We start from the raw sequence: 13,974 nt of genomic DNA on the forward strand, positions 1-13,974 counted from the left end.
TGGTGTCTTCATTATAAAATCTTTGCCCATGCCTATGTCCTGAATGATATTCCCTAGATTTTCTTCTAGGGTTTTTATAATTTTGGGTTTTACATTTAAGTCTTTAATCCAACTTGAGTTAATTTTTATATATGGTGTAAGGAAGGGGTCTAGTTTTAATTTTCTGCCTATAACTTGCCAGCTCTCCCAGCACCATTTATTAAATAGGGAGTCCTTTTCCCATTCCTTGTTTTTGTCAGGTTTGTCAAAGATTAGATGCTTGTAGGTGTGCAGTTTTATTTCTGAGTTCTTTGTTCTGTTCCATTGGTCTATGTGTCTGTTCTTGTACCAGTATCATGCTGTTTTAGTTACTATAGCCTTGTAGTATAGTTTGAAGTCAAATAGTGTGATGCTTCCAGCTTTGTTCTTTTTCCTTAGGATTGTCTTGGTTATCTGGGCTCCTTTTTGGTTCCATATGAATTTTAAAATGATTTTTTCTAATTCTGTGAAGAATGTCAATGGGAGTTTAATGTGAATAGCATTGAATCTATACATTATTTGGGGCAGTATGGCCATTCTCTGATGGCTGTATTTTTGTGGGGTCAGTAGTGATATCCCCTTTATCATTTCTGGTTGAGTTTATTTGATTCTTCTAACTTTTCTTCCTTATTAGTCTAGCTAGTGGTCTATTTAATTTGTTCAAAAAACCAGCTCCTGGGTTCATTGATTTTTTGAAGTGTTTTTCTTGTCTATCTCCTTCAGTTCAGCTCTGATCTTGGTTATTTCTTGTCTTCTGCTAGCTTTGGGAGTTTATTGCTCTTGGTTCTCTTGTTCTTTTAGTTGAGATGTTAGGTTGTTAACTTGAGATCTTTCTAGCTTTTTGACGTGGACATGTAGTGCTATAAAGTTCCCTCTTAACACTGCTTTACCTGCGTCACAGAGATTCTGGTACATCATTTCTTTGTTCTCATTAGTTTCAAAGAACTTCTTGATTTCTGCCTTAATTTCATTATTTACCCAAGACTCATTCAGGAGCAGGTTGTTCCGTTTCCTGTAGTTGTGTGGGTTTAAGTGAATTTCTTAATCTTGAGTTCTAATTTGATTGCTCTGCAGTCTGAGAGATTGTTTGTTATGATTTCAGTTCCTTTGCATTTGCTGAGGAGTATTTTACTTCCAATTGTGTGATCAGTTTTAGAGTAAGTGCCATGTAATGATGAGAAGAATGTATATTTTGTTGTTTTTGGGTGGAGAGTTCTGTAGATATCTGTCAGGTCTACTTGATCCTGAGGTTGAGTTCAGGTCCTAAATATCTTTGTTAATTTTCTTTCTTGATGATTTGTCTACTATTGTCAGTGGGGTGGTAAAGTCTCCCAGTATTATTGTGTGAGAGTCTACGTCTCTTTGTAGGTCTCTAAGAATTTGCTTTATGAATCTGGGTGCTCCTGTATTGGGTGCATGTTTATTTAGGATAGTTGGCTCTTCTTGTTGAATTGAACACTTTACTGTTATGTAATGCCCTTCTTTGTCTTTTATAATCTTTGTTGGTTGAAAGTCTATTTTTTCAGAAACTAGGATTGCAACCCTTGATTTTTTTTCCATTTGCTCGGTAAATTTTTCTTTATCCCTTTATTTTGAGCCCATGTGTGTCTTTGCACATGGATAGGTCTCTTGAAGACAACATACTGATGGGTCTTGGCGCTTTATCCAGCTTGGCAATCTTTTCACCCATTTTATTGTCTGCAAAGATCATACTTCCATGGGTTTAGAGTTTTCCTGACTATTTTTGTTTGTTTCTTTTTATATTTGAATTTTAAAATCACTTGTTGGCATTGTTATTTGGATTATGTTTAATGTATGAATTAACATAAGGAGAATTGATTTCATTATGATATTGTCTTCTATTAATAAACATGGCACACATTTCTATTTGTCCAAGTCTTCTCTTGTATTCTTTAGGCATATTTAGATGAAAGCTTTTTCATCTAGGTTCTGTAAATTAAAAAAATTTATTCTAATGTATATTTTAATTTTGTTTTATTACTTTTGCAAGTGGGATCTTTTCCTTCATGTATTTTCTAACTGGTTTTTAATGTATCTGTATAAAAGCTATTGATTTCTTTTATTGTGTATCCTGCTAACTCTTATTTTTTGTAGTAGTTGTTAGTTGATTGTCTTGGGGGCTTCCAGGTGTACAATCATATTATAGCTAGTTAAATTTTTCTTTTCTTTTTTTTTTTTTTGAGATGGAGTCTCACTCTGTTGCCCAGGCTGGAGTGCAGTGGTGCAATCTCGGCTCACTGCAAGCTCCACCTCTTGGGTTCACGCCATTCTCCTGCCTCAGCCTCCCGAGTAGCTGGGACTACAGGCACTGACCGCCACCACGCCTGGCTAATTTTTTTTGCATTTTTAGTAGAAACGGGGTTTCACCGTGTTAGACAGGATGGTCTCGATCTCCTGACCTCGTGATCCGCCCGCCTCAGCCTCCCAAAGTGCTGGGATTACAGGCGTGAGCCACCGCACCCAGCCAATATTATAGCTAGTTATAATGCAATATATAGTGGCTCAAAATGACAGTTGTTTATTATTGTTCATGCATCTGTGCATGACTGGGAGGACCTTCTGGTCTTAACTGAACTCATTCATGTATTTCAGTTAGCCATGAATTGGACAGACAGCCTCTCTGATCTTGGCTGGACTCTCACATATTTGAGGATTGCCTAGAGGTAGGTTGGTTTAAGATGGCCATGGCCAAGACAAGTGAGCTGTTCTCACATATCTCTTACTTTATATCACCCGCAAGCATGGTAGTCTGAGCATATTTTTAGCTTCACTCAGGGATATTCCCATGAGTATCACAGGATATGATACTTTTTTTTTCATTAGTGTTCATGTGGAACAAGACAGATAGGGAAATGCATAAGCACTCAAGTGTTTGCTTCTCTCAAATTTACCAATATTTTAATGGCCAAAGAATGTCCCATTGGCTAGGTCCAGATTTAAGGGGTAGGAAAATAGACCCTGCCTCTTAAATGAGAACTGGAGTGTCAAAGGGCAAGAGTCAAGGAGAGGTGAAGCATAGGTGTTATCAATAAATCAACCTGCTACTTTGTATCTGCAAATAGTGATAGTGTTACTCGTTCCTTTCCAATTTTGATTTCTCTAATTTTTTCTCTCTCATAATTGCATTGGCAAATACCACCAGAACAATATTCAACAACAACTTCTTGTGGTTGTTGCTTTCAAAGAGCCAGCTTTTGGATTTATTAGTTACTACTTTTTCTGTTTTCTGATTACTTTTTTAAAAACAATTTATTCTTTTTTCTTTAATGTGTTGTTTTTTTCCTAGCTTCTTTAGTCAGCTGCTGTAGCAATTGCTGTTGACACCCAAGATCCCTTTACTAGGCTTGCATACCCATTGACTGGTTCTGAGAATGTTGATTAATATCAACTCCCAATTGAACATTTCTCCTTTGAATTGTCATTGATTATGGAAGTTACCTTCTCTGGAAATACCTGAGGTTATGCTTTCTCCTTAGGAATACCCTGCAATCAATGACTAACTAAGAGAGTGGCACAACTCTGTGATGCCATTTATATTCCAGAGCTCCCCATGGAATATAATTTGGCTGAGGCTAAATTTTATATGAGCTTACATCGTTGCAAGCTCCCAGGTGGCCTATGTGCTCTAAAGGCCTCCTGTCTGCATTGATGCCTGCCATCCTACTGTACACCCATACTGCCAGTTGCTGATGGTTTGCTTCCCCACCTGCATTTGTAAGGATGGTTTATTCTTATCCCAGAAACTCCAGACCAACTCTGGCCTGGCCAAATCAGCTAACTTCTCTGCTGTTTGATGGGCTAAACCATACCTTCTCTAGTGAGATCTGTACCTGTTCCAACTTTTTCCCGTTTTTAGGTGTTCTCTCTCAGCCTGAGGATACCATATGGAGTTTCCCTATATCTTATAGTGAACATTTTATCATAGTAATACTTTGTATTAAACTTTGTCTGTTTAACCTATTGCATGATTTCTTTCTTCTGATTGGCTCTAGACTGCTACATCTTGTGATTTATCAGTTTTTGTTTTACATATTTGAGGCTTTGTTGTTTGGTGTGTACACGTTTAGGATTGTTATGTCTTCTTTGTGGATTGATCCTTTTATAATTATAATATCTTTTGCTATCTTTGGTGATGTTCTTTTTTCTGACATCTACTCTAGCTGATATAAATATAACCATTTCTACTTTTTCTTTTTGATTAGCGTTCACATGGCTTAACTTTTTGCATCTTTTAGCTTTCAACTTGCTTATGTCACTATATCTGAAATGGATTTCTTGCAGATAGCATATTTTTAGACTTAAAAAATTCATTCTACCAATCTTTGTCTTTTAATTGTGGTATTTAAACCATTTACATTTAGGGTAATTATTGATATGTCAATGTTTACATCTGCCACTTTATTATTTATTTCTTCTGTTTCTTATTTCTCTTATTTTTTTTGTTTTCTTACCTTCCTGTAGATTATTTGAACATTATTTTAGGATACCGTCTTGATGTATTTATTGTGTTTTAGGGTATATCGCATTCTATATTTTCTTAGTGGTTGCTTGAGGTGTTATAGTACATACCTAATTTATCATAGTTTACTAGTATTGTCCTACCACTTTGAGTGAAGTATAGAAACCTAACTTTCATTTAGGTTCCTTTACCTTTCCAATTTTAAAATACCTTTTTTGAGTCCTTTTTTAAAAATTTGAGACAGGGTCTCACTCTGTCACCCAGGCTGGAGTGCAATGGTGTGATCTCGCCTCACTGCAACCTTCCCCTCCTAGGCTCAAGCAATCCTCCTACCTCAGACTCCCAAGTAGCTGGGACTACACATGCACACAACCACATCCAGGTAATTTTTTGTATTGTTAGTAGAAACAGGATTTTGCCACATTGCCCAGGCTGGTCTCAAGCTCCTGGGCTCGAGCAATCTGCCCACCTCAGCCTCCCACAGTGCTTGAATTATAGGCATGACCCACTGCCCCTGGCCAAATTGTTTGAAGTATTTCTTCAACCTACATTGAGTACCACATCAGATGGTTTTATAATTTTTGCTTTAGACATTAAATATTATTTCAAAAAGTCATGAATGAAAAAAATCCACTAAATAAATGGTGGGATATTCTATGTTCATGGAGAGGAAACTTAATGTTGTTAAGATTAAACGTCATCTCAATCAAAATCTTGGCAAGTTATTTCATGGATATCAACAAACTGATTTTAAAGCCTATAAGGAGAGACAAAAGACTCACAATAGCCAATACAAAATTGAAGGAGAAGAACAAAGTTGGAGGACAGCCACTACTGGCTTCATGACTTACTACAAATCTACAGTAATTAAAAATGTATAGTGGTGGTGAAAGAACAGACAAATGGATCAATGAAACAGAATAGAAAGTCCAGAAATGGACTCACATAAATATAGTCAACTGATCTTTGACAAAGGAGCAAAAACAATAAAATGGAGAAAAGATAGCTTTTTCTACCAATGATGCTGTGACAACTGGACGTCAACATACAACCCCCACCCCCACATAAATCTATACATAGACCTTACACCCTTCACAGAAAGTAACTCAAAATGGATCACAGGCCTAAATGTAAAATGTAAAACCATAAAATTCCTAGGAGATCTAGAAGAAAGTCCATATGACTTTGCATTTGGTGATGACTTTTTAGATACAACACCAAAGGCATGGTCTATGAAAGAAAGAATTGGTAAATTGAATTTTATTAAAAGGAAAACTTTCTGCTCTGTGAATGTCAAAAGGATGAAAAGGCAAGCCATGGATTGGGAGAAAATATTTGCAACAGACACATAGACACGTCTAATATAAGACTGTTATTCAGAATATACAAAGAACATTTCAAACTCAACAATAAGAAAACAAACAACCCCATCAAAAAATGGGCCAAAGACCTTAACAGACACCTCACCAAAGAAGATATATAGCAGGCAAATGAGCATATTAAAAATGCTCAACATCATATGTCATTAGGGCTACACACATTAAAACAACAATGAGATATCACTACATGTCTGTTAGAATGGCCAAAATCCAGAACACTGACAACACTAAATGCTGACAACAAGAAGTTTTATTCATTGCTGGTAAGAATGCAAAATGGTATAGCTGCTTTGGAAGATAGTTTGGTGATTTCTTACCATATGGTCCAGTAGTCATTTTCCTTGGTATTTACCCAAAGGAATGGAAAACTTACGTGCACACAGAAACCTGCACATGGATATTTATAGCAATTCTATTCATAATTTCCAAAACTTAGGAGTAACCAAGATGTCTATCAGTAGTTGAATGGATAGATAAATGGTGGTACCTCCAGGCAATGGAATATTATTTAGTGCTAAAAAAAAATGAGGTATCAAGCCATGAAAAGCACATGGAGACTTAAAGGTATTTACTAAGTGAAAGAAGACAATTCAAAAGTCTAGTTGAAATACTGCATTATTTCAACTGTGTGACATCCTGGAAAAGGCAAAACTATGGAGACAGTAAAAAGATCAGTGGCTGTCAGGGGTTGGGGGAGGCATGGCACAGATGATTTTTAGGGCAGTGAAGCTACTCCGTATGATACTATAATAGTAGATACATGTCATTATAAATTTATCCAGACCCACAGAATGTACAATTCCAAGAATGAACCCTAATGTAAACTGTGAATTTGGGTGATAATGATGGGTAATGTACGTTCATCAGCTGTAACAAATATACCACTCTGGTGGGGGATTTTGATAGTGAGGGAGGCTATACACATGTGGGGGCAGGAACTATATGGGAAATCTCTGTATCTTTTAATCAATTTTGCAGTGGGCCTAAAACTGCTCTAAAAAAGTCTATTAAAAACCCATAATAAGTAATCTAGTCTACTATATTTTTACTCATTCTGATGTTCTTTCTTTTCTGAAAGTTCTAGCCTTTTTCTCCTATCATTTCCTGTCTGTTTAAAGAACTACCTTTAGCCATTCTTTAAGTCAGCTTGCTAGCAAACATTGTCTTAGATTTTTTTGGCCTGATAAGATTTTTATTATTCCTCTTCTTCATTCTTGAAGGATATCTTCACTGAATATAAGATTTGCCATTGACAGTTATTTTGTCTCAGTACTTGAAAAATGTTGAGCCACTTGTTTCTGGCCTCTGTAGTTTCCAGTGAGAAATCTGCTGTCATTCCAATGGTTTTCCCCTATAAGTAACCCATCATTTCTCTCTAGCTGCCTTCAAGATTTTTTCCTCGGCCTTAATTTTAAGAAATTTAATTATGATGTTTCTTGACATGGGCTTCTTTGGGTTTAGCCAATTATTTGCTCAGCTTACTGAACCTGTAGGTTTATTATGTCTTTTACCAAGTAGGGGAAGTTTTTAGCTATTATATCTTATACTACTTTTTTGGTCCAGTCTCTCTTTTTTTTGCTTTTCAAAACTGAAGATATGCATGTTGGCTCTGTTATTATTGTCCCAAATGTTCCTGAGAAATATTTGTCTTATTTTTCAGTCTATATTTTCTTTGTTGTTCAGATTGGATAAATTCTATTGATTTGTGTTCTAGTCTAAAATAAAATATCTTAGATCAGGTTGCCTTTAGATAACAGAAATTTATTTTTCATATTCTGGAGGCTGGGAAGTCCAAGATCAAGGTGCCAGAAGATTTGGTGTCTGGTGAGGGTCTTGCTTTCTGGTTCATAGATGGTGCCTTCTTGCTATGTTCTAACATACTGGAAGGAGCAAGGCAGGTCTCTGGGACCTCTTTTGTAAGGGCATAAATCTCATTCATGAGGGTGAACTGCTCATGACTTAATCATCTCCCAGAGCCCCTACTTTCTAATATAATCACCTTGGTGATTAGGATCCAACATATACATTTTGGAGGACATACAAACATTTAGACCATAGCAATCTGTCATCAAGTTCACTGATTCTATTATTTCATCTATGCTGTATTCTTGAGTTCATCTAGTGAGATTTAAAAAATTTGGTTATCATATTTTTCAGTTCTATGAGTTCCATTTTATTCTTTTCTATAACTTGCACTTCTTTGATACAATTTTCTGTTTTTTTCCCCATTTATTTCAAGAGAAATTATGATTACTTATTGAAGCATGGTTATGATGGTTGCTTTAAAATCTTCATCAGATAATTCCAATGTCTGATTAATCTTGGTGTGGGTATCTGTTGATTTCTTTATCATTCATGTTGTGATGTTCCTTGTTGCTGTGATGATTCTTAGTAAATTCTTTGTATGTGTTCTGACAGTTCTTGGTATCATGAGCAATTTTTTATTGTGTCCTAGACATTTTGGATATTTTATTATGTTGCTCAAGATTGATTGAATATTTTTTAGCATGGGGTCCCTTGTTGAGGTATATTGGGATGTCCAGGTGGCCATGTATATTCAGCTTCCTGTTGAGCCAACTTTGTTGAAAATGTATGGAGTGGAAGTTCAGCTCCCCTCTTGAATCTCATGACCTCAGTTGCCTTCAGATGGGGATGTGAGATCATCCCCTCCCCACTGGGCTGAGCTGCCATCAGGAAGGGGGAAGTTGAAAGCTGACCCACATCACTTTGTTGTCACCGGTATGGGATGGAAGGTCAGTTCTCTTCTGGGTGCTAATGACGCCAGGGAAGGAGAGGGGTGAATTAAGTGCCAACTGACCCTCTCTCCTACCACCTCCTTTTTCCTTGTTAATACCGAGTAGGGGTGAAGTCTCAGCTTCCCATTGGGTCCTGCTGATGGGGTGTTGGTGTGAAGCAGGGTGTGACTAGATTTACCTCGCATCTTCTTGCTAGGCCTTGTTGTTGCTGGGTATAGATGGCCACTACTGGACTCCACTAATGCTACCCTGGCACCACCTGCTTTTGCTGGGCAGGAGATAGAAGATCAGCTCCCTACTTGGCCCACCAAGGTGTGCACCAGGTCGGGAACTCAGACACTCCATCTGCTCTGCAAGACAAGAGGTGGAAGGTTAACTCTCCCCTCAGCCTTGCAGAAAGGAATTGGAGTGCCCCCTCCTGCTTTTGCAGGGTTATGGGGTAGAGAGGAAGAGCAATGCCCCACTGAGACTGCAGGAGAGGAAGATGGGTGTGTTTTGCTCTGATGTTTTTCTGTTGTTGGGTGGGTATCTCCAAGAAGGTTTTCTATTGTTAGGCCATCCTTTTCATATCCTCTGGCTCTGAAATCTAACCTGAGTGAGGTCCTACAGGCTCAGGCTGTGCGTTGCATGGAAACATTCTAGGTGGCCAAAGAGGAACCTCTCCTCCTGTGTCAGTTTAGGTTCATTGAGAAGTGGGCACCAAGGTGGGGCTAGATGTGCAGGAGATTTAATGGGAGAAAACACCTGAGAAGCGTAAGTGGGAGGGAGCTGGATTGGTGGGGAGAACCCTCAGAACAAAGGCAGTCAGGTCTGGCTTCCTTGCAAAGAGAGGGGGAGGAAAGGGTTGAGCTGGGAAAGCCTCAGACACAGTACAGTGATGACAAAGTCTGCAGGCAAGTGGGCTCCCAGAGCAGGTCACCTCTTGGGCAGGCATGGCCTGACTCTAGAACCTTGTGAGGCTCAACCATCAGCTAGTAGCAGCCAAGAGATGAGCAGCCTCATGGTGAATGTAATTACCATCACTCTGTTATTCCAAAGGTGTGGCAGCTGGAAGCAGGTAATCTCGAAGGCAACCCTGAGTGGCAATCCTTATGGCCACCACAGTCCACCTCTTGCAACACGCATGTCACTCCCTTGCCCCTATCTCCCAAATGCTGCTTTTAAGTCATCTCAGACAATTTTCAAAGGACTGCAGAGCAGGAGGTGTTGCAGTCTTGTTTTAAGATGGTCTTGGCCGGGCGCGGTGGCTCACGCCTGTAATCCCAGCACTTTGGGAGGCCAAGGCGGGTGGATCACAAGGTCAGGAGTTTGAGGCCAGCCTGGCCAATATGGCGAAACCCTGTCTCTACTAAACACACACACACACACACACACACACACACACACACACACACACACACACACACACAAATTAGCTGGGCATGGTGGTGGGCACCTGTAGTCCCAGCTACTTGGGAGGCTGAGGCAGGAGAATCGCTTGAACCCGGGAGGCGGAGGTTGCAGTGAGCCGAGATTGCACTGCTGCACGCCAGCCTAGGCAACAGAGTGAGACACCATCTCAAATAATAATATTAATAAGAAGAATAAGATGGTCTTGTCAGGAAATCCTTCCATCTCTCCCTCCCTGTGTCTGGCTGTATTGAACACCCAGTCTGTGTGACACACACAGTGTGCACAGTATCAAACAAGCATTACAATGGACACAGCTTTTCTGTCTGAGCCCGGGGTCAAAGCATCCACAGCCTCCCCTCAGTCACCAATTATTGGCTGTCTTATTTTGTATCTGTTCTTCACAGGTATGATTTAAGCTTGGATGAAATGAGAGCTTTGACAGTTCAGAGAGTGAAGTTTGCCATGGACCTGCCTCTGTTAAAACGTGCAGGTCAGGATCTGGTAAGTGTCATTATTATTCTGGTATGGTTGTGTGTGTGTGTGTGTGTGTGAGAGAGAGAGAGAGAGAGAGAGAGTTTTTTTCTCTCCAGCTTTTATTTTATGTTTAGAGGGTATATGTGCAGGTTTGTTACATGGGTAAATTGCGTGTTATGGAGGTTTGATGTACAGAGTATTTCCTCACCCCAGTAGTGGGCACTGAACTCACGATAGGTAGTTTTTTGACCCTCACCCTTCTCCCACCCTCCTCTCTCAAGTAGGCCGCCGCGCCTATTGATTTCTTCTTTGTGTCTGCGTGTACTCAGTGTTTAGCTCTCACTTATAAGTAAGAACGTGCGGTATTTGGTTTTCTGTTCCTATGTTAATTTGCTTAGAGATTTTGTTTTGTTTGCTTTTGTGACTTGCTAAGCCTGTTGATCTCATGCTGAGGGCAGCTGACAGACAGGTCTCGGTGGAGGAGAGTGTCTTCCTCAGGCCCCTTTTCTGCCCCACTCCCACTAACCTAACAAACCCTTTCCTCGGCCCACACATTCACTTCTCCAATCTCACAGGCGAGGGAATAGGAGTATCAGCAGAAGTAATAAAATATTTGTACACAAAACCCATATAATTTTAGGGATAAAGTTAAATAGCTGGGAAATAGAAATAACTCATTTTAAGGGCTTTTAAAGTACTTTAGACTTATCCAAAGTTTATGTCTTATTTGTCTAAAAACTGTCATTCTAAATTTAGTGGTATTATTTTAGTCAATTTAGCCTCATGAAAAAAGAAAGAAAGAAAGAAAGAAAGAAAGAAAGAAAGAAAAAAATACATGATTAGTGAGTTCCTTTGTGTCAGTATTAGGAGTGATGTATTTTAGCCAAGTTCATTCAGCTTCATGGTATATAGGAAAAAATATACCTCAGCAGGGTGTGGTGGCTCACATCTGTAATCCCAGTACTTTGGGAGGCCAAGGTGGGCTGATACTGGGTAGAGCCCAGGAGTTCAAGACTGGCCTGGGCAACATGGTGAAACCCTGTCTCCACAAAAAAAAAAATACAAAACTGGCCAGGCACAGTGGCTCATGCCTGTAATCCTAGCACTTTGGGAGGGAAGCAGGTGGATCACTTGAGGCCAGGAGTTTGAGACCAGCCTGGCCTCAACATGGCGAAACATGGCCTGGGCAACATGGTGAAACACTGTTTCTACTAAAACAAAACAAAACAAAACAAAACAAAACAAAAATTAGCCAGGTGTGGTGGTGCACGCCTGTAGTCCCAGCTACTTGGGAGGCTGAGGCACGAGAATCCCTTGAACCAGGAGGCGGAGGTTGCGGTGAGCTGAGATTGCGCCACTGCACTCCAGCCTGGGCAACAAAGCGAGACTCTGTCTCAAAAAATAAAATAAAATAAAATAAAAAACCCCAAAAACCCCAAAACACTAAACAAATACTAGCCAGGCATGGTGGCCCACACCTGTAGTACCAGCTACTTGGGACGCTGAGGTGGGAGGATCGTTTGAGGCTCCAGAGGTCGAGGCTGCAGTGAGCTATGATCGCACCACCGCACTCCAGCCTGGGCAACCGGAGTGAGACCCTGTCTCAAAATGAACAAACAAACAAACAAAAAACCCAACACCACCCGCCCTCTGAGACCCCCTAAGGGAGGAGCCTGAACTAGGGTAGCTGCAGCTCAGCGGCATGCTGAGGAGCCGACCCTATCCTGCAGCAGCCCAGCCCTTTCCCCACCCAGCATGGTCTGGGAGGGAGAGTCTGAGGACTGAGGGATGGAGTCCTCCCAGTTCAGGAGACCACAGGGGCGCCTTTCTTTGTGGAGCGTAGAATGGAGCTAGTGGGGGCCTGGGATCCATGCTTGAAAGTAGATCCCTCTCCCTTCCCCACAATCCCACCAACCTTTGGTAGGTTGTCTAAGGAGACAAGGACCAATCCTGGAGTCTTCTCAGGAAGGAATTACAGGCAGAGCCTTGGCACCACCTGCGCTGCGATACTGCAGGCACCTCCACGCTGACAAGGGCGCTGCAGTGTCAGCTGAGCTGGAGAACGTGCAGATGGATGTTCACTTGGCACAGGAAAACTCCCATGTGACAAAGTGGAGCGTGCTTGCGAAGCGTAAAAAATCATTTCATACCAAGTAGTTTGGCAGAGATTTTCAAGCTAGGAAATTGCCTCTTGATGGAGCATCCATTTAGAGCTGTGAATACAACCAAAAAAGAAAAAAAACACAAAAACAACCAACCTCTTTGCTGCCAACCACTCTCTCTGTCAGAGTCGCCTCCAAGTGCGTTCGGCATGGGGCTGGTTGGAAGGTGAAATCTTGGCCTGTGGCCAGCTTCTTGCTCCCTTAATCAGCCCAACATGTCTGTGGCTTAACTTAGTGTCAATACTCAAGACCCGGATGTGAGAGCTGATCCCTTAATGAGGCTTGCTAATTGCAGCCCGACCCGCTGAGTCTGAAGGATTAGCCTCTGTAATCTCGCTCCTGATGAAGCGTGTTGAGCTCTGGATCCAATTATCTTCCTGTTTTCCTGGCTCACTTAGTGGCCTTAGGCAGCCTGGACAACTCTCTGTCCTGGGTGATTAGATATAATTCCTCCAGGAGGCACAGGATTGGCCCTAGACCATCCCTCCAGTCATTTCTGTGAATTATCTCGGCCTGTTTGGCACCTCTCTCTGTATGAATTCACAAAAGCCAATAAACCTGAAGGAAATGAAACTGGCCATCAGTGCGGCAGGCTCATCTCGCTGGGCGGATGTCATGAGACTCGGCAGCACATCTGTGTTTGAAGGCTCTCAAATTCCGCCCTGTAAACAGCTGGAGGAGCTGTCCACATCCAGTAATTCTAGAAGTGTTACATGATTCATCCTGCCTCTTAATAAAATGATTGAGTCATGGCTGTCCTGCCTGCTCAGGGAGCATGCCAGGCCCGTCTGTGTTTCCCTGGACCCCCCTTTCATGTTGCTCTCCACTTTTGTGGATGATCCGATGAGCTCTGAGGCAGAACGCGGTGTATAATGTGTAATGATGATGTTCTAGGGGACAAATAAGAAGGGAGTCTCATTCACTCCAGGTCTCTATGGACAGTCCGCAGGCCAAGAATAAACCATTAAAATATTTCCACGCTGTGTTTTCCCCTCTGCCATCTGTAATAGATTTGAGATGTTTCAATAATTTTAAAGCGAAAAAACAATATGAGTCTGATTGCAGAGTGTGCACGCACACACACACAGACACACACACAGTGTGAACACCATCATTGTTCTCTGTGCCAACTTCTCCTGCACCTGTTTCTAGTGACATCACCTTTGTGCACCTCAGCCAAGAGCTCTCTTGTTCCCCTGAAGTTTCCAGAATTGGATCCTGGGCTGGGGGAGTCACCAACTGCCTCTATTTCCAGATGCAGAGACCTTCTGTCTCTAAGACCCAGGTCTTATCATCTACTTTGTGGCAGTGTC

The 13,974-nt window shown here is 41.0% G+C and overlaps 1 protein-coding gene across 27 annotated transcripts in view; it reads left to right on the forward strand.

Moving 5' to 3' along the window:
* The window catches only part of ACOXL (acyl-CoA oxidase like), a 385,976-nt gene that overhangs the window by 25,366 nt on the left and 346,636 nt on the right, over positions 1 to 13,974 (forward strand). For all 27 annotated transcript variants that reach the window (NM_001437600.1, XM_011511414.4, NM_001142807.4 and 24 more), the window contains exon 2: positions 10,430 to 10,526. In NM_001437600.1, the coding sequence (NP_001424529.1) occupies positions 10,452 to 10,526 (75 nt within the window). In that variant the 5' untranslated portion in view covers positions 10,430 to 10,451. The remainder of the gene's footprint in view (positions 1 to 10,429; positions 10,527 to 13,974) is intronic.

The sequence above is a fragment of the Homo sapiens genome, chromosome 2, assembly GCF_000001405.40.
Source record: "Homo sapiens chromosome 2, GRCh38.p14 Primary Assembly".
NCBI lineage: Eukaryota > Metazoa > Chordata > Mammalia > Primates > Hominidae > Homo > Homo sapiens.